The following is a 21865-nucleotide window of genomic DNA, read 5'->3' on the forward strand; positions in this document are numbered from 1 at the left end:
GGCACTGGAGAAAAGGTGACTCTTGTTATGTTTTAGTGAAGAGACTGGTGGCATTTTGCCCCTGCCCTAGAGATTTGTGGAACTCTGAACTTCAGAGAGATGATTTAGGGTATCTGTTGGAAGAAATTTCTAAGTAGCAAAGCACTCAAGACATGACTTGGGTGCTGTTAAAGGCATTGTTTCATAAGGGAAGTGGAGCATAAAGGTTTGGAAAGTTTGCAACCTGACAATGCGATAGAAAAGAAAATCACATTTTCTGAGGAGAAATTCAAGCCGGCTGCAGAAATTCGCATAGGTAACAAGGAGCCAAATGTTACTCCCCAAGACAATGTGAAAAATGTCTCCAGAGGATGTCAGAGGTCTTCACAGCAGCCCCTCCCATCACAGGCCAGGAGGCCTAGGAGGAAAAAATGGTTTCATGGGCCAGGCCGAGGGTCCCCATGCTGTGTGTAGTCTAGGGACTTGGTGCCCTGTGTCCCAGCCACTCCAGCTGTGACTAAAAGGGGCCAAGATAAGCTCAGGCTGTGGCTTCAGAGGGTGCAAGCCCAAACTCTTGGCAGCTTCCATGTGGTATTGAGCCTGCAGGTGCCCAGAAGTCAAGAATTGAGGTTTGGGAACCTCTGCCTAGATTTCAAGAGGATGTATGATATGTCTGAATGTCCAGTCATAAGTTTGCTGCAGGGGCGGGGCTCTCATGGAGAATCTCTGCTAGGGAAGTGCGAAAGGGAAATGTGGGGTTGGAGCCCCCTCACACAGAGTCCCTCCTGGGGCACCACCTAGTGGAGCTGTGAGAAGAGGGCCACCATCTTCCAGACCCCAGAACAGTAGCTCCACCAACAGCTTGCACCGTGCTGCTGGAAAAGCTGCAGACACTCAGTGCCAGCCCATGAAAGCAGCCAGGAGTGGGGTTATACCCTGCAAAACAACAGGGGCTGAGCTGCCCAAGACCATGTGAACCCACCTCTTACATCAGCGTGACCTGGATGTGAGACATGGAGTCAAAGGAGATCATTTTGGAGCTTTAAAATTTGACTGTCCAGCTGGATTTTGGACTTGCATGGGGCCTGTAGCCTCTTTGTTTTGGCCAGTTTATCCCATTTGGAATGGCTGCATTTACCCAATGCCTGTACCTCCATTGTATCTGGAAAATAACTAGCTTGCTTTTGATTTTACAGGCTCATAGGCAGAAGAGACTTGCCTTATCTTAGATGAGATGTTGGGACTGTGAACTTTGAGTTAATGCTGAAATGAGTTAAGACTTTGGGGGACTGTTGAGAAGGCATGATAGGTTTGGAAATGTGAGGACATGAGATTTGGAAGGGACTAGGGGAGGAATGATATGGTTTGGCTGTGTCCTCACCCAGATCTCATCTTGACTTGTAACTCCCTCAATTCTCACATGTCGTGGGAGGAAACCAGTAGGAAGTGATTGAATTATGGAGGCAGGTCTTTCTTTTTTTTTTTTTTTGAGACAAGAGTCTCAGTCTGTAGTCCAGGCTGGAGTGTAGTGACATGATCTCGGCTCACTGCAACCTCCACCTCCCAGGTCCCGGTTCAAGCAATTCTCCTGCCTCAGCCTCCTGAGTAGCTGGGATTACAGGCACATGCCACCATGGGGGCAGGTCTTTCTTGCACTGTTCTCATGATGGTGAATGATTCTCATGAGATCTGATGGTTTTAAAAATGGGAGTTTTCCCTGCACAATCTCTGTTCTCTTGTCTGCCACCATGTGAGATGTGCCTTTCACCTTCTGCCATGATTGTGAGGCCTCCTCAGCCATGCGGAACTGTAAGTCCAATAAACCTTTCTTTTGTAATTTGCCCTTTCTTGGGTATGTCTTTATCAGCAGCGTGAGAACAAACTAATACAGGAAGATAGGAAAAAGAAAAGAGACAAACAAAAAAGAGAGAAAACAAAGAGAAAAAAAATAAATCAGTGGACTAAAGGCTTGAGGCTCCTCTCCAGTGTCTGCCTGCTTCTGAATGCTCTGCAGTGCCTTCAGGTAGTTGCTTTTTACTTTGCCCAGAGTTTACAATTACCCTCTCTGGGTGGGGTGGTCCAAGAGGAGCTGACTCAAACATTACTGGAAGTTGTGTCTCATTAGTTAGTTTTGGCAACAATGCCTTTGGTTTTGTGTGTGTGTATGTGTTTTGGTTTCTGTTTTTTTTTTTTTTTGAGACAGAGTTTCTCTCTGTCACCAGGCTGGAGTGCAGTGGCGCAATCTTGGCTCACTGCAACCTCTGCCTCCTGGGTTCAAGTGATTCTCCTGCCTCAGCCTCCCAAGTAGCTGGGACTACAGGCACACGCCACCACGTCCAGCTAATTTTTGTATTTTTAGTAGAGACGCGGTTTCATCATGTTGGCCAGGATGGTCTAGATCTCTTGACCATGTGCTCTGCCCGCCTCGGCCTCCCAAAGTGCGGGGATTACAGGCGTGAGCCACTGCGCCCAGCCCAATGCTTTTTATTCATAACTAGGCTTAGATTTATTAAAGAAGCACTCTTACATAAACAGCACGAGTATCTGTGCAGCTATTAAATATGTTCCATAACTCTCAATTTGGAAATCTCACATAAATTTCTTTCATAAAGTAAATTTCATTATTTTGATATATTATTGAAAATAAAATTCCATTCCTTTTTATGTTCTTATATATGAGAACACAGAGAGGTACAGGAAAAAGTATCAAACCAGATGTATGAAACAGAAACCAATTCAGCTCTTGGTCACTGAGGACACCTACTGGCTCATTTGTGGCAGTGATTTTGTGCAGAATGTATTATGGAAGTGAGGGAGGATTACCGTCATAACATAAGTTCATTTCTTTACCCCAAGTTCAGATGAAATAAAGGCATTTTCTTCATGCTGGGGGTTAGCAGTATACTCAGCATGTGCAAAACCAAGCCCATGTCAACTCCTCCAAACGTGGTCCTCTTCCAGTGTTCCCCATCTCATTGAATGTTGCCACCATCCATCCAGATGCGGAAGTCAGAGACTAGGTGTCATGCCTATACCCCACTCCTCCTCTCTCCTCCATATCCAGTCCATCACCAAGCTTCGTTGATTTTTACTCCCAGATATCTCTATCCACATCTCTCATCTCCACCTCCACCTCTCTAAGTTATCATCACCACCTCTCATCCAGACACTCTTTGAAAGAACTATGTTCTTTCCATGTATAACATCACTCTGATAACTTCCCTTACATTAACTCATTTAATTTCACATTGACCGTTATCAGCTCAAGCAGCACTGTCTTCTCAGGAAGGAGCTTTGACTGTAGATTTGAGAATTCTTTTCTAACATAAGCATCTAGTGCTATAAATGTCCCTCTAAGCAATGCTTTAGCTAACATTCCACAAATTATGATATGTTGCATTTTCATTTTTTGTTCAGTTCAAAATATTTTCTAATTTCCCATGAAATTTCCTTTTAACCCTTTGATTATTTAGAAGTAGTTTTTAAATTTACAAGTATTTAAGTATTTTTCCATTTATCTTCCTGTTACTGATTTCAAATTTAATTCCATGTAATCAAGGACCATATATTATATGATTCCAATTCTTTTCAATTTGTCTAGGTTTGTTTTCTGACCCAGGACCGTCTATATTGGTGACTATTCCATATGTACTTAAGAGAAAGTGTATTTTACTATTTTGAGGTGAAGTGTTATGTGAATATCAATCTAATCCAGTTTGTTGATATGTTATACAGTTCTCTTACATCCTTACTAATTTTCTGTCTGCTTGTCCTATATTACTGAGAGAGAAGTGTTAAACTCCCCAACTATAATAGAGGCCCCAACTATAATTGTGACTTTGTCGGTTTCTCTTTTCAGTTCTAACCATTTTTATTTCTTGTGTGTTAAATTTCAGATGTTAGGTATGTACCCACTTAGGATTACTATGTCTTCTTGGTGAACGATCTCTTTTATCACTATGTAGTGCCTGAAGTCTACTTTGAATGGTATATCTTTTCTCATCCTTTTTTTCTCTTAAGCTACCTATAGCATAATATTTAAGGTGGGCTTCTTATATATAACATATAGGTCAGTCTCTCTCACTGTGGTTTTCATTTGCATTTCCCTGATGACTTCTTACATGTTGACTATCTTTTTATACTTCTAGTGGTTTTTGATACTTCTTTTTTGAAGAGGCTATTCAAGTCTTTTGTCCCTTTAGAAAACTGAGTTATCTTTTTATTTCTTGGATATCTTTGACTTGTTCCTGGTCTTAGGAAAAAAGTGTTCAGTATTTCACTGTTAAGTAAGATAATGCTAGTTTTAGGTTTTTTCTTGTTGCATTTTGCAATTTGAGGACTCTCCCTTCTATTCCTAGTTTGTAGATAATTTTTTAAAAATCATAAATGGGTGTTGAAATTTGTCAAATGTTTTTTCCTTACCTCTTAAGATGATCATATGATTTTTCTTATGGCAAATTATAATGATTGATTTTCAAATGTTAAATGTGATTACCCAGGAATGTACATTTGAATTCCTGAAATAAACCCCAATTGGTTATGACATAATGTCCTTTTTATATATTGCTAGATTCAATTTAATAATATTTTGTTTAGAATTTTACTTTCTATATCTATGAAGGATACTGTCTGGTAATTTTCCTTTCTTGTAATGTCTTGTCATATTCTGGGGTCATGTTTTTTCTGGCCTTATGAAATAAGTTGGGAAACATTTCTCCTTCATCTGTTCCTTGGAAGAATTTGTATAAGATTGGTATTATTTCTTCTTTAAATGTTTGAAGAAATTCACAGGTGAAGCCACCTAGGCCTGAAGTTTTCTTTGTGGCAAGATTTTTTTTTAATTATAGGTTTAATATCTTTACCAGAGGTTATTCACATTTTCTATTTCTTCTTATGCCAGTTTCAGTAAATTATGGTTCTCCAGGAATTTATCTATTTCATCAATGTTGTCAAATTTACTGGTATAAAGCTGTTTATAATATCTCCTTATTGGCCTCTTAATGTCTGAAGGATCTGTGATAATGTCTCTATTTCCATGTCAGATGTTAATAGTTTGTTTTCTTTTACTTTTTAAAAAAGTCTTAATAGTCTCACTATGCATCTTTCAGTTTTATTAATGTTTTCAAAGAATCAACTTTTGTCTTTTTTAAAATTTTCTCTTTGGTCCATCTGTTTTCTATTTCATTAATTTCTACTCTTATCTGTATTATTTCCCACTTTCTACTTTCTTCAGGTTTAACTCACTCTTCTTTTTCTAGCCTCTTGATTTGCTAGCTTAGATCACTGACTTTAAATCTTTTATCTTTTTTTTAATATACACAATTAAAACTATAAATTTCCATCTAAGTACTGTTTAACCTGTATCTCATTTAAAAAATGAATTTTTCAAAGAGTCATTCAAATTTTTCTTTGGTACTAGGTAAAAAATACTCTCTTGGGAATTGGGGAGGAGTTGAATGGAAAAGAATCTAAGGGAATGTTTCTCCATAATCCTAGTATGAATTGATTTACTTCTCAGTAACCTTACCTTATTACCATCAAATAGACAGAGGCGTACATGTCTGCTGAGAACCTGTATGCTCATTCCTGGAAGAGGAATCATTTTACAGCTCCATAATGTCAGAATCAATGAAATACGACTTGGTCTCGACCTAATCTGAAAGAAAAATTAGTTATAAAAAAGTTTATTTTTATGATTTCTAACACAAATCTGTCTTTTGTGAATTCGGCTTATGAAAATGTATACAGAATTTTTAAAAAAGAAAAAATTTACACATATACAATAAAAGTTTCAATACTCTGTTCATTGAAAATTAAATCAGTCATTTTAGGTAAATTTTTCATAGAGTTACATTTGAAATATTGCATTTTTCTTAAATACTTAAAAGCTGTGATGAAAGGAACAATAAATATTGGCAGGCAAAATGTATATGATCTATGACTATAGAATCACTGTATTCCAGTCCCGGTTCACTCCTACAGAATGTGGGTAAGTGCAGAAGGCTAACGCAGCATAAAACCAATGCCACCTGGCATTAAGATTATCCCCACTATTTTTTATTCCAAGCAATTATCTGCATAGTTCCTTAGTTTCTTAATAGGTGTTTTAACAGAGAGAATGCACTATCTGATATATTTATTCAGATCTGCTTCATAGGTATAATTCAGATTGTGAGTAAATAAATTGGCATTCTGATTTTTTATTTTTTAAGAACAGCTTCAATTCATTAAACTTTACATTCTGCTTTACGGTCATAAGCCTTTTCATTTAAATAACTTATATTAGACTGGGACTGGTGGCTCACACTTGTAATCCTAGCACTTTGGGAGGGATAGGAGGGCAGATTGCTTGAGCTCAGGAGTTTGAGACCAGCCTGGCAACGTGGCAAAACCCCATCTTTACAAAAAATACAAAAATTACCTGGGCATGGTGGTGTAGGCCTGTGGCCCCAGCTACTCAGGAAGCTGAAGTGGGAGGGTCGCTTGAGCCCAGGAATTTGAGGTTACAGTGAGCCATGATCACACCACTGCCCTCTAGCCTGGGTGACAGAGGGAGACCCTGTCTCAAAAATACTACTACTACTGCTACTACTACTATAAATGATAATAATGGCTAACATCTATTGAGTTCTTTTCATATGCCAGGCATTATTCAAAACCCTTCACACACATAATTATCAAAATAACTTTATGTTGGAAGCATTACTATTACTCCATCTTTACAGATGAAGAAATTGAGGCAAAGAATGATTAAGATAGAAACCTAGTATTATTTCCTTTCTAACAATGAGAGAAGAGTGCAATGGAGAAGAGAAACAAGATAAAGTCAAGGTAGCAAGTCCAAATTCTGCCTTAGTTATAAAAATATCGCTATTTTCAAAATTATCATAAACAATTTTTTTGTTTTTTATAATTCATTAGTCAATTAACATGTTGTTTGTCTAATTGCAACTATGACAAAATCTGGAAGAGTTACACTTTTACTGATAGTAACTATACTTACAGTGCCTTCTGTAGCATCCCACATCAGATCTCTGAAGGCCAGTTGTGAAGGCATGAGCTCTGGTTGTAAGAAGTAATTTGCTCGAAATTGATTCCCTGAAAAAATCATTTTTTCTTCATTTTCTTACAAAGAAAGAAACTCCAAATCAAAAATCCATAATGTTATGCTATGAACTAGAGTACAGGCACTTCCAAAATGCCACGCTGCTTACTAAGAACTTGCTTTCCAAAATAGAAGCGCCAATATAGATTTATGGATAAAAACAGCAGTACAAAACTTACAGATACAAACACATAAAAGATCATCTTAAAGCACCTTTAAGAAAGACTTTTAGGCCAATAATATGCCCCATGATGACAAGGATTCATTCAAATATTTTTGTAAAATGCAGAAATCTATGAGCACTTTTTGGAGACTTCAGAAAAAACAAAGTCGTTAGTTTTACTTCTTAACACAAAAGCATTTTATGCTCTTCCTCCATGCTTTAGTCATGAATAATACTTTTAATAACATCATTTATCCATTCGAGAAATAATTTTTGAGCTTCTACTCTTGCCAGATGCTACACCAGGTTCTAGAAATACAAAGATAAATCAGAGATATGTCCCCTGCCCTCCATAGTTTACAGTTGAATGGGAGGAAAATTTTCTTAGAAAATAAGTAGACAAGCAAATAAATAAAATAATTATTAGGGGACATAGAGCTATAAAGGGTGTTCACATGAATGGGAGTAAGGGAAACCCACATTACTCAAGGAAGGCATCTCTGGGAAGGCAGAATTTACCGCGAGACCTGAAGGATGAAAAGATGGGAATTTAGGGAGTACTGGGAAGAACCTTCCCAGCAAAGGCATCCTCAAAGCAGCCCTTCCATGACAACTCAACAACTCAGGGTATACAGGACACCCCTTGTCCCCCAGCATGAATCCTCTTTAAAATGAGCTTATAGACAAAAGTTGCCAAATACAGGGAAAGCCAAGAATGAGTAAGGAAAATGAAAATTCCAAATGGAGATAATTCTTTGGAAAAGTCTTGCTTGGAAGAAGATCAGAGAAAAGGAGGTTTTGGCTAGAATGGGATAGGATTCAAGGGGCTGATCCTTTAAGGTGGGGAGAATTAGGTGTGCTGATAGCACAGATGAGGGAATGAACCAGTGTGGGGAAGGTGGGCCAGCTAAAGACACAGGAAAGGGCTGAAAATTAAAGGAGTCACATTTTTGAAAAAAAGAAAGGGGCTGGAACCCGGAGCACTGGTAAACAGGCTGGCCTCTGATAGGATCAGGGATCTTTCCTCACTGTCATAGGAAGGATGAGGAAAAGATGAGCACCAAAGAGATGTGAGATTCAACATCTTCTTCAACAATGTGTTTTGCCTGTGACAGAAAAATTAGACGTGGATCTTGACTGCTTTGCTGAAAGAGTGCAGTGGCTGATAGGCACGCATTACCTTCCTCCAGAAGCTGTGAGAGCGTGGAAGGCCTGAACCCTGCAGGAATAGCTCCCATCGTAGTTAACACATCAACAGTGTTTATCTGCTGAAGACAGTAACATCAAAATGGATTTGTTTTCAGTCATGTTTCTGCATCTCTATAATACTTTATCACTAGAGTAACTATAACCCAAAAAAGAAAAATATAAACATACAGACTTTAGTGGAAGAATAATACGATTTGGCCCCAAATTCCTGAGAGGATGCCATCACAGCACCCTGGCCTCTCCTAAGGACCTAAGCCCCATACAGTGCCCAGCGTGCAGAGCTGTGTGTTCCGGAGCAGCTGCTTCAAGTATACCCTTATCAAAATGTCCCTGCTCCTGTCCTGCTCCACCCTGCGCTTCCATTTCACAGGTAAGTTAATGTCTATTGGCAAATCACATGCACTGAAGAATTAATGGATTTTTTTTGTATACACATACACACTACTCATAGACACACACCCTCACACATACAAGGATGTACTTATAAGTAATAAATAACGAAAAAGGTCAGGAAGGACACGTACTAAATTGTTAATGGTGATTACTTATGAGTTTGAGGAAGAGAATTTTCATTTGGCTATGTAATTATTTTTTTGTTTTTTGAGACGGAGTCTCACTCTGTCGCCCAGGCTGGAGTACAGTGGAGTATTCTCGGCTCACTGCAACCTCCGCCTCCCAGGTTCAAGCAATTCTCCTGCCTCAGCCTCCCCAGGAGCTGGGACTACAGACATGCGCTACCACGCCCAGCTAATTTTTCTATTTTTAGTCGAGGTGAGGTTTCGCTGTGTTGACTAGGCTGGTCTTGAACTCTTGACCCCAGGTGATCCACCCGCCTTGGCCTCCCAAAGTGCTGGGATTACAGGTGTGAGCCACTGTGCCCATGAGCCACTGTGCCCGGCCTGTAATTTTTTTTTAATGACAGAATTATGGATCATTTCTCCTTTAAAAAAATGTAATTAATTACTTTTTTTTTTTTAAGACAGGGTCTTGCCCTGTCACTCATGCTCTGGAGTGCAGTGGCACAATCACAGCTCACTACAGCCTTGACTTCCCAAACTCATGCAATCCTCCCACCTCAGCCTCCCGAGTAGCTGGGACTACAGGCATGAGCCACCACACCTGGCTAATTTTTCTTATTTTTTGTAGGATAGGGTCTCACTATGTTGCTCAAGCTGGTCTTGAATTCCTGGCCTCAAGTGATCCTCCTGCTTCAGCTTCCCAAAATGTTGGGATTACCAGTGTGAATCACCATGCCTGGCCAATTTCTTACTTTTTATTAAAGGCTTTCAGGATTTTTCGAATAGTAAATAAAATTTAACATCTGTTTCCACTCAAATGATAGGAAAGCAGGATCAATGAGAATGTTTCCAAGTCCTCAAGTGACACCATGAATTATCTATTCTTTTTGTACAAAAAAAAAAAAAAACTAATGAGAAATGTTACTTGGAGCACAGGCTTAGAAACCAGAAATATACGTCCTCTGCTCTGTACATTCCATGCCCTGAACCCTGTTTCAGATCCATTGGTGTCTTCCACAGTCTCCATCCTATTTCGCATCAGAACTATTAGGTAGCAAAACGAGACATGATTAACAAGACAGAAGATGCCCGCCTCTGAAATCGCTTTCTGAACAGCACTCCAGTGGGGATCAGTTCTGGGGAGACAAAATAGCAAAGTGAGTCAGGTCAGGTTATGCCTATTCACTCAATTAGGGAACTTCTTTAATCACAGTTGATAATCATCAGTAAGTTTTGAAAATCTAACAGTTTCCAGATGAAAACGAGGTAGAGCTAAATGTATTAAAAATAATTACAAAACTAAAACAGTAATGATCTTTAAGCAGACAATAGTATGAAAAGCTCTCCAGGTACAAGTTGTCTCCATTTCAAGAAAGTATTGAATTAGTTATAATAATAAAAATAAACAAATAAAATGTTTCCTAAACCTACTTTGATATCCTTTCCCACTTTTGTACCTTTGCTTAACTTCTGCTCCATCTGCTGTTTCATCCACCGCCTCTACATCTTCTTCACTGCCCTCTTCACTTGACTCTTGGCCTTCTTCTTCTTCACTATAAGGCTAAAAAACCATTGAAATGTGAAGTGCTTTTTAACTAATGCAAAAAACAACCAATAAAAATACCAGTACTGCCACCTAACCCTCCAGTAAAAACAAAAACAAGCTTTTCTGTTTAAAAACAAAAAAACAAAAGCATCAGTACTTTCAGAAAATCTTGAGCATAGATGGGAATTTAGTATATATGATGAGCATATAAAACTCAGTGGGAAATAAATTTTCAACACATGGTTAATAACTTTGCTATTTGAAAAAATAAGAACTGAGATAGACAGCAAGTTTAATCAAAATAAATTCCAGATGGAATTTACTTAAATAAAAAAGAAAAGACGTAAAGATAAAAATAAAAGAAACATAAAAGCATTAGAAGAAAATAATCTAGAGATGGGGAAGCCCTTTCCAATCATGATACAAAATCAAAAATCATAAGTGGAAACACTGACAGATTTAGCTACATAATAAATAAACATGACCTAAAGTCAACAAAGAAAATATCTAACACATAACTTAAGCATATCCTGAGGGGAAAAAAAGAAAATAGCTCACACAAATATCTAAGGATTAATATCCTGATTATTAAAATATTATAAAAGCTCTTAGAAATCAATGAAAGAGTTTTTTAAATCCCTTAGAAAAAAATATCCAAAAGAACTGAAAAGGTACCAACACATAAAAATGATAAGCACTCAAGGTGATGGAAATCTCAAATACCCTGACTTGATTATTACACAATCCATACAAGTAAAAAGCACTCACACAAATACATAAAATATTATGTATCAATAAAGAAAACCGAAAGTGCCATTCGCAAAGAAGATATACAAATGGTCATAAAGCATATGAGATGATGCTTAACCTCATTAGGAGTACAGTAAATGCACATTAAACCACTAATGACACTTTTTTTGCTGGTCATATTGGCAAAAATTTTAAAGATTGCTAACAGCCATCACTGGCAATTGTGTGAGGAAACAGCACTCACTGATTGTTAGAGGTGGGAGTACAAATTGGCATAACTTTTCTAAAAGGCAAATTGGAAAAATAAATCAAAATATAAAGCTATAAACCCTTTGAACCAGTGATGAACATCTAGGAATTTATCTAAGGGGATAATCGGGCAAGTGTGCAAAGATGCACGCAGGCTTGATGACAACACAAGTTGCTGGCTGGCTACCACCTATTCCCCACCTCCTTTTTCAAACAAAATCCCTGATTTAACAATGATCCAGTTAAAAGACTACATTTCCCAAGACTTCCTTGCAGCTAACTGTTGCCAGAGAACTAAATGCTGGTCAATGAGCAACAGTTGAAAGTTTTTTTGTGTAACTTCCAAGAAACCTTCTTAAAAAGGCAGCAGCTTATGCCTTTTGAATTCTTTCCCCTTTTGCTCCTTGGAATCCTTAAAAGATCCAGCAGCTGACTTAAAACTAAAGAGATAACTCTAGGCAGAGCAGCCTCACATCAGAAACAGGATAAAATACTGGATAGGATCTTAACCAATTATTGATTGCTTTTCTCCACACTTTTATGCTTGAGAGAAATAGGCTTCTACCTTATTTAAGCTACTTTTTGGGGGGATCTTTTTGCAACTGACAGTGGATGCTAATCCCATGTTCTTTGCAACATAATCGATAGTGATTATAGGTTGGAAACAACTTCAATGACCATCTAAATGAGATTAGAAGACTTGCTGCCATTGAAAAAGATGATCTAGACCTGCCCTATGTAATACAATAGCCCTTTGGCCACATGTAGCTAGTGAGCTCTTGAAATTAATCCAAACTGAGAAGTGCTGTAAATGTAAAACACACATTGGATTTTGAACTTAATGTTAAAAAAGCAAAACAACTCAATATTTTTAAATATTGATATGTCAAAATAGTATTTTTGATATACTGGATAATATAAAATATATTATTAAAAATAATTCTACCTGTTTCTTTTTACTTTTTAAAAATGTGTGTAATGAAAAACATGTATTTGTTCTTTGTCACTGATTCCTGGCACAGAGCTCCTGAAACCCTTGGAATTTCCTGAATGATAGGAGTATGTTTTCTTACTCATCAAGAGTCCCCTTCAGTCACTCCTGAGTTTATGTTAATGAGGTAATTCTAGGTGGGCACCTAAACAGCTTCAGGAAGGGGACAGGTTACCAGAAAAACCAACCCAGGTATTAGAGGTTAGAACTTTCAGCCCCACCCTCCAACCTTCAAAGAGGGGAGAGGAGCTGGAGACTGAGTTAATCACCAATTGCTAATGATTTAGTTAAACATGGCTAATGAAACCTTCAGAAAAACCCCTAAATGATGGGGTTCCAGGAACTTCCAGGATGGTGAACACAGCGAAGTGCTGGGAAGGTGGAAGGCCCAGAGAGTGCATGCCAGCCACCCCCAACCAATACCTCACTCTATGGCTGTTCCTGAGTTGCATCCTTTATAATAAACTGGTAAATGCAAGGAAAGTGTTTTCCTGAGTTCTGTGAATCATTCTAGTAAATTACTGAACCCCTGAGGTGATGGTATGGGAACTCGTGAATGTATAGCCAGTCAGTCAGAAGTATGGGTGGCTCTTGGGACTTGTGACTGGCAACGGAAGTGAGCAGCAATCTTGTGGGACTGAGCCTTTAACCTGTGGGGGTCTGTGCTAGCTCCAGGCATTAGCATCAGAATCGAATTGAATTGCTGACACCGGTTGGTGTAGAAGAACTGATGTAATAACACATATTTGGTGTCAGAGAAAAACCACATACTTGGTGTCAGAAGTGGCATCAGCAAAAAGATATCTCAGTGTGGCTACTGAAAAATTTAAATTACATGTGTGGTTTGCATCATAGTTCTACTGGACAGTGCTGATCCAGACAGAAATCTATATATCTTGGCACAGAAAATGACCATGTTATTTTATGAAATAAGAAAATACAAGCTACAAACACACATGTATAGTATGTTCACATTTTAGTAAGGGGATCACATATTTGTGGAAGTTAACACAAAGTTAACTGCAGTTATGTTTTACAATAAACAATAGACACCTATTATTTGTTATGATCAGCATTAATCCACAAAGCATCCCCTCATTGTGAGATCACGTTCCAGGGCTCACATGCGTAAGAGCACTTCACAGGTCCCCAGGACCATTAATACACAATGTTTTTCCCAGGTCCTGTCCCTCCAAAATTAAAGCAAATTCTATATCTCAAGTCATTCACTAGTCAACTGACAAAAGAACACAGCTAAATGTTTTATTAAAAGCGAAAAAAAAAAAAGTCTTAGAAAAGGAAGGCATAAACCAAGACTAACCTCTAGGTAGGTTCTGGGAACAAGACCTTCATTTCCTTTGGCATCCTTAGCTATCCACCAACCATCAGGTTTTTTTTCAATTACAAGGAGAATTTCCCCTTTCTTAAAGCAAAACAAAGTAAACCATTTTAAATAAAATTCAATAATCATGAGTATATGTCAATACCAATGATTCAAAATATGTGCTGAAAAAAAGGCAAAATCTTTTTTTAATCCAATATTTATCCTAAGGTTTATCAAAAGCTTCCCTATCACCCGACCCCTATGTATTCTGCCTAACTCACCTAAAACCATAAATGTGACATAGTTTAATGAATCATTCCTTTTGGTTACCTAACATACACTTGAGCCATTTATGCAAATGGGAACCATTTTTCACAATCATTTTTAAGGCCCCATACTTATTCCAAAAATTCAATTACTGCGTAAAATATTTTTGAATGTTTTAATATCTCTGGAAAAGTGTCTTTCAGAAGCAGCATATAAATTCCCAAAGAATATCAATTCCATTAAAGTTAAACCCTATTTTTGAGCAAAAATAGTATTTACTGAATATAATTACCCACTTAATTCACCAGATATGTTTTGAATAACACTCACTCATTTATAAAAATAAAATTCATCTTTGAAGACAAAAGCATTTCCACCACTAAGGACACTACAAAAGCAAACACTTAATTAAAATATACATTATTGTCTAATATTGATACCATTTTCCAGGAGAATTTGAAAAAAAAATCTATAAATCAAACCATATAATTATTTGCATAATATTCTTATGTATTTTATTATTAATCAGTTACTAAACTTTGAAGTTTAATATAAGAACTAAAATTCATATATTCACTTAAATTTCTTTGGCTCATTTCTCTAGCAGAAAACACAGGCTCAAAATCACAACTTTAAAAATCACAACTTTATTGTTCTGTCCCACCTGCCACTTATTTATGCCCAGGCCAACCAAGCATGGATGTAAGCCCCTCTCATATCTAAGCTAACAGGAAAGACTGCTACAAAATGGCAGGAAGTGCTCCCTTCTACCTCCACCTATGGACATTGCCTAACTCACTTGAATGAATTTATACATGACATTCAATAACAAATTATAAAATTTTACCCCTAAATTAGGAATTCTCAACATTAAAGCTACTTTCAAAAATCTTTAGAAGAGGTAACTTTAGTAACACAATCTCATATTACTACTGCTTGTAAATTGTAATTATTACTTATTTAAATAGATTGTTATAAAACTGCATTTTAAGAATCTGTAATACAGGTGTACAGGCAGAGTTTTCTTATTCTGTTAGGTATGGACATCGACCCTTAGGTTAGGTTTCAGTCTTATTCTACCTACCTTAAATGTAAGATCTCCAACTTGCTGAGCAGTAAAATCTCCAACAGCGATGTATTCTTCACCGGTTGACCATTTGTGAGATTCATTTTCCTCTTTCTCTTCCTCTTCCTCCTCTGCATCTTCTTCCTCCCCACCACTGTCTTCACTATCTTCACTTTCACTTTCTTCCTCTTCTTCAGTAGGTGCCCCAACTCTACAAAAAGTGTTTCTGAGTAGGACTACTTGAAATAATATACAAGAACAGACCAGCTATGAGTGTAACTTCTACATATACATGAATATCCCATATTTGGAGCTGGCAAATAAAAGAAATAAGGGAAAATACAAAGAACAGTTTCTACCATCTAGCTAAGACCGTGTGCCTGGAGAGACTGAGGCGGAGAGGGAGCTGAGTCATGTATGTGAGATGGCAGAGCATCACTGGACTTGAGGCCAGGAGACTCCGAATTCAAGTCTTGGATTCATCCATTCAGAAAATGCTGTTGAAGCATTATTATGAAGTACTTAGAGCATAGGCTCTGCTAAATTTAAATTCTGGCTCTATTCCCTCTTTGCTGGGTGACCTTGAGTAGGCTTCTTTTAAGCTCTCCATTTCTCATTGGTAAAGTGGAGATAATAATAGAACCTGCCTTCTAAGATTGTCATGAGGATTAAGATGAGTTACTACTTGCAAAGTGTTTAGAACAGTGCTTGCCCATAGCAAGCTTTCCATAAAAGTCAGTTATGATGATGACACTGATGCTGTAGGTCAAGTTCCGTGTCAGAGAGATACACAGTGGACACAAAGGTAAACCAGACATGATTCCCCATCCTCAAGGAGCTTGCAGTGAGACAATCTAGAAAATGGAGAATTATAAAATAGTGCAATAGGTACTAGAGTAGAGGTATACACAGGATACTAAGAAATCAATCACACAAGAGGGACACCTAACCCAGGTTGCACGAATGGGAATCATAAAAGGCTATAATTAGGTCTTGAGAGATGATATGGAATTAATCAGGTAAAATGGGAGTAGAAAGGAAGGGCAGGGAGAGGAGAAAGGAGATTTAAGATTAGGAAACATCAAGTAGCTCATGAATGGTAGGGCAAGGCTTAAGGAAAATGAGTGAGAGTTGAGGCTGAAAAGAGGTACGCGGAATGTAGCCCAGGTGAGCTTTACCTTTAAAGTCGCCCCTAAAAATGAGTAGGGGAAGGACATGATATGATTCCCACTTTAGAAAGGAGACAAAGGTATAATGTGGGGAACAGATTAGAAGAAAGGCTAAAGGTGAGGGTGGCTGTTGAAAGTGAGAAGTGACAACACTATGAACTAAGAAAACAGCATAGGGATGAAGAGAAAGGAGGTGAATCTGAGGGTGAGGAAGAGAGAAATGCCAAAATAATGTTAGCTTGGGCACGTCACTAAATCTTTCTGAATTTTATTTACTCATTCAACATTCAGCAAAGTTTAAATTTTGGGGAGCACCTACTGTGTGACAGACACTATGTGCTTGGGCTATAACAATGAACAAAACCAAGATCTTTGCCCTCCTAAAGCTTACATGAGAGAAGCTTATCTTTAAAATGGGAAAACAATACTTAGACTAATGCAAATGAACATCATTAACTATAAAACTAGTCAACTACAAGATTTTCTCTGGAATAAAAAGGAATATTAGCTGAACTTTGTTTAAAATAATGGTAGGACACTCTTATACCACAATGATCTAAAACATAAACAGGGATGTAACAACCATTTTTATACCACAAGACTAAAAAATCCATAAAATGTCATATTGATTTTCAACGCGTCTCTTTCCTTCTTTAGGAGATATTTTGCACATATTTTATATGGGTCAATTATTCTAAAATGTTGCCGAAAATAATGTGAACTTGATAACGGTTTTTCCCCTTCATTAATGTAGTGAATTTCAATGATTGATTTTTTAATGTTAAGCCAACCTCACACTCTGGAACAAATTCCACTTGGTCATGATGTATTACCCTTTTGAAATGCCTCTAGATTTTACTTGCTAATATTTTATACTGAGTTTGTGCATGTGTTCATGAGGGCCTTGCAATTTTCTTCTAGTGTTCTTGTCATGTTTTGATATCAGTGTTATTGAAAGCTTATAAAATGATTTGAAAGTGTTTCTTCTTTGTTCTCTGGAATGATTTTTTAATATTGGCACTATTTCTTTCTTAAATGTTTACAATAAATTCACCAGTAAAGCCACCTGAGAGTTTAATCTGTGGAAAGGCTTTTAATTACAGATTCAACTTCTTTAGTAAATATTTTAGTAGAACTTTTAAGATTTTCTGTTCATCTTGTGTCAATTTTAGTACATTTTCTTTTTAAAGAAACTAATTTTATCTAAATTTCAAACTTATTCACACAAGTTGTTCATAGTCTTTTCATAGTATCTTTTTAATGCTTGTGGAATCTGTATTGATTTTTTTTCTCTCTCTCTTTTCTTGATCAGTAATGCTAGCAGCTTATCCATTTAATTAATTTTCCAAAAACCAGTTTGGCTTTGTTGATATTGCCTACTGTATGTCTGTTTATTGTTCACTGTTTTCTGCTTTTATTTTTATTATTTCTTTCCTGCTCTCCTTGGGTTTGTTGTCCTTTTTCTGGCCCCTAAAGTTGGATGTTTTAGTAATTGATTTTCAACTTTTTTTTCAAACTATACATTTAAAGATATAAATTTCTGGCCAGGTGTGGCGGCTCACACCTGTAATCCCAGAACTTTGGGAGGCTGAGGTGGGAGGATTGCATAAGCCCATGAGTTCAAGACCAGCCTGAGCAATATAGTGAGACCCTGCCTCTACAAAAAATTTAAAAAATTTGCCAAGCGTAGTGGCACACGCCTGTAGTCTCAGCTACTCAGGGAGGCGGAGGTGGAGAGGATCACTAGAGCCTGGGAGGTGGACGTTGCAGTGAGCCAAGATTGCACCACTATACCCAGTCTGGGTAACGGAGACCCTGTCTCCAAAACAAACAAACAAAAGATAGAAATTTTCCCTTTAAGCACTATGCTGGTTGCAACCCAGTCATTTTATTATCATTCCAAATATTTTCTAATTGCCACTGTTATATTTTCTTTGACTCACAGTTTATATAGAAGTGTGTGACAATTTGCAAACATGTAGTAATTTCTTTTCTTTTTCTTTTTCTTTTTTTTTTTTTTTGAGACGGTGTCTCATTCTGTCACCAGGCTGGAGTGCAGTGGTATGATCTTGGCTCACTGCAATCTCCACCTCCCGGGTTCAAGCGATTCTCCTGCCTCCGACTCCCGAGTAGCTGGGACTACAGGCATGCACCACCATGCCCAGCTCATTTTTGTATTTTTAGTAGAGATGGGGTTTCACCATGTTGGCCAGATGGTCTCTATCTCTTGACCTCGTGATTCGCCCGCCTCAGCACAGGCGTGAGCCACCGCACCTGGCCACATGCAGTGATTTCTAATTATTTTTCTGTCATTGGGTTTTAATGTCATTCCAAGTCATCAAAGAAAATATATATATATTCTACATAATTTCAAACTCTTGAAATTTGGTGACAATTACTTTATGGTCCAATATGGTTCATTTTGGTTAATGTTACAGATGCACTGAAAAGAATATGTATTTACATAATACATACTTAGGTGCTGTGTTCTACACATATATAGTCATGTGCTGCACAACAATGTTTCAGTCAACAATGGGCCACATATACAATGATGGCCCCATACATATAATACCATATTTTTACTGTACATTTCCTATTTTTGGATATGTTTAGATACACAAATACACCATTGTGTTACAATTGTGTACAGTATTCAGCACAGTAACATGCTGTACAGGTTTGTAGCCTAGGAGCAACATGCTATACTATAACTATATAACCCAAGTGTATGGTAACCTACACCTTCTAGGTTTGTGCAAGTACATTCTATGATGTTTGTACAATGATGAAATCACTTAATGACTCATTTCTCAGAACATATCCCTATCACTAAGAAAGGCTTGACTATACATGTAATTAGATCACGGTGGTTAAGGATTGTGAATTATCTAGCTCTGTTTTAGTTCTGGCAACTTTTGCTTTATACATTTGAACCCATATTATTAAATGTATACTCATTTAGGAAGATTTTTTTTCCTACTGAATCGACCCTTTCTTTTATCATTATGAAATGTCCTTTCTTAAATAGTAAATTACTTTTAGCCTTAAATATCTGATATTATTGTAACCGTATCACCTTTGTTTTGGTTATAAAACAAATAATATCTTTGTTGTAGAACATGGAATACCTTTTTCCAGTTCTTTACTTTCACTCTCTCTATAACTGCATACTAAAGTCTATCTCTTCTAAATAGTATATATTTGGGTTAAAAAAATTCAATCTGACAATCTTTGTTGTAATTGGAGTGTTACTCCATTTACATTTAATGTAACTATCCAAATGGCTGCATTGAAACCATATTACTATTTGGTTTCTATTTGTCTCATCTGTTTATTTCTCCTTTCTTGCCTTTTTTGGGTTAATCAAATCACGTTTAGTATTCCATTTTATTGTGTTGTTTCACAAGCTACACTTCTTTGTATTATTTTGTTAGTGATTGTTTTAGGTATTACAATATGCATCCCTAACTTATCATAGTCTAATTTAAATATCACATTTCACCAAAGATAAAATAACTTTAAGATAAATAATTCCATTTACCTGCCAGCCTTTGTGCTATGCTGTGCTATTGTCACATTTTCCTTCTACATATAGTCAGTCCTTGTAACATGCAGATTCTGTATTTATGAATTCATTGGCTCACTAAACTTTATTTGTAACCTCCTAATTAATACTCACAGTGCTTTTGTGGTCATTTGTGGACATACACAAAGCAGCAAAAAATTTGAGTTGTCTGGCGTACACATTCCCAACTGAAGCTGAACATGGTGACACCTGCCTTTTTTTTTCAGCTCTCATACAGGAAAGTGTCCCTTTTTTGCAGTCTATTTAGTGCCACAGTTTTTGCATTTTTGTGCTTTTTTTTTTTTTTGGTGATTTTGTTGTTTAAAATGGCTCCCAAACATAGCGCTGAAGAGCCATGTGGTATTCCTAAGCACAAGAAGGCTATAATGTACCTCTGGAGAAAATAAGTGTGTTAGATAAGACTTGTTCATGCATGAGTGATAGTGCTGTTAGTGTGAATTCAATGTTAATGAATCAATAAAATATATGAAATAAAGTGTCTTTAAACAGTAACACAAGGTTGTATGTTACTCAGTTGACAAAAACATTGTGACCAGAGGCTCACAGGAGTCTTAAGTCTGCATTTCCCCAGGAGCAATGGTTTAGCATTTACTAATCGAGTATTCCTGGCAACTTTATAGAACATAACTACTGTAAATAATGAGAATCAACTGGATATTATAAATCCCCAAATATATATTTTGCTTTACATAATTGAGTGTCTTTCAAAGGCATATAGAAAAGAAAAAATAGGCTTTTATATGTACCCACGTACCCATCTTCTTCAATCCTTTTTGAAGGTCCAAATTTCAATGTGGGATCATTGTCTGCTAGCCTGAAGAACTTCCTTTAACATTTCTTATACTGCAGATCAGTTGACAAATTTTCTCAGCTTTTGTTTGCCTGAAAATGTCTTTATTTCACTTTAATTTTTTATACTTTTGCTGGATACAGAATTCTGAGTTGATGGTTTCTTCTTTCAACGTTTTCAAGATGTTACTGTTACTGCATTGTCTTCTGACCTGTATTTTTTCTCATAAGATGTCAACTGTAATTCTGTCATTTGTCTCTACATGTTTCCTTTTTTCCCTTGGCAGCTTTTAAGATCTCCTATTTATCTTTGGTTTTCGGTAGTTTGAGGTACCTGTGTGTGGGTTTCTTTATATTGATTCTGTTTGGGGTTCCCTGAGATTCTTGGATCAGTGGATTGATATCTCTCTTAGATCATAATTTTTAAATATTTTCAGTCACTATCTCTTTAAATATTTCTTGTGCTTCATTCTCTCTCTTATTCTGAGACTTCAATTACAAATCTGTTACAACTTTTAACAGTGTCCCACCTCTCTCTTACATTCTGTTTTGTTCTTTGCATTTTTTTATTTTTGTGTATCAATTTGAAAAACTTTTAAGCTGTCTTTGGGTTCACTGATCCCTTCTTCTGTTGTATCCAATCTTCTATTAAACCACTCAGCAATTTTATTTCACATATTGTATTTTTTTAGTTCCAGAATTTTCATTTTGGTCTTTATTAGTTCCCATTTCTCTGCTTAAGATTTCGCTCTATTCATCTTATCAATCTTTTCCTATAAATTATTTAACATATTAAAAATTGTTGTTTTATGGTTATTTGCTAATTCTCACATCTCCGAGCTACTGATTATTTATTCTCTTGATTTTAATATATTTCCCAGATTTTTGAGTCTATATGTTGAATCAGATTTTGGAAGTTCTCAGTCATTACTTTATCAAATATTGTATTTTTTAGTTATAGAATGTTCATTTGATTTTTCTATATTTGAATTAAATACACCCATTTCCCATTTCATTCATCTTTTCTTCTATTTTCTTTACTGTATTAATCATTTTATTTAGAAGTCCTTGTCAGCTAACTCTATATCTGGATCATATCTGGGTCTGTTTTTAGTGACCATCTTGTCACTTATTGATCATGTATTTTCCCC

General features: G+C 36.8%; 1 protein-coding gene across 11 annotated transcripts in view, besides 1 other annotated feature; it reads right to left on the reverse strand.

Annotated features, from left to right (window-relative positions):
- The window catches only part of NPHP1 (nephrocystin 1), an 81666-nt gene that overhangs the window by 31273 nt on the left and 28528 nt on the right, over positions 1-21865 (reverse strand). For 4 of the 11 annotated variants that reach the window (NM_000272.5, XM_006712551.2, XM_011511244.2 and 1 more), the window contains exons 5-11: positions 15186-15378; positions 13832-13933; positions 10432-10535; positions 9900-10110; positions 8428-8515; positions 6983-7077; positions 5507-5635 (exon numbers count right to left, since the gene is read on the reverse strand). In NM_000272.5, the coding sequence (NP_000263.2) occupies positions 5507-5635; positions 6983-7077; positions 8428-8515; positions 9900-10110; positions 10432-10535; positions 13832-13933; positions 15186-15378 (922 nt within the window). The remainder of the gene's footprint in view (positions 1-5506; positions 5636-6982; positions 7078-8427; positions 8516-9899; positions 10111-10431; positions 10536-13831; positions 13934-15185; positions 15379-21865) is intronic. The other 7 variants (NM_001128179.3, NM_001374256.1, XM_005263677.2 and 4 more) reach the window with 3 other exon arrangements.
- Positions 12936-13437: an enhancer, noted in NCBI's record as "NANOG hESC enhancer chr2:110925133-110925634 (GRCh37/hg19 assembly coordinates)". NCBI's record gives its function as "activates a minimal SCP1, AML or CMV promoter by ChIP-STARR-seq in naive H9 embryonic stem cells {active_cell/tissue: H9 hESC(naive)}" and the evidence as "EXISTENCE:reporter gene assay evidence [ECO:0000049][PMID:30033119]".

This window comes from Homo sapiens, chromosome 2 (assembly GCF_000001405.40).
Source record: "Homo sapiens chromosome 2, GRCh38.p14 Primary Assembly".
In the NCBI taxonomy this organism is placed as follows: domain Eukaryota; kingdom Metazoa; phylum Chordata; class Mammalia; order Primates; family Hominidae; genus Homo; species Homo sapiens.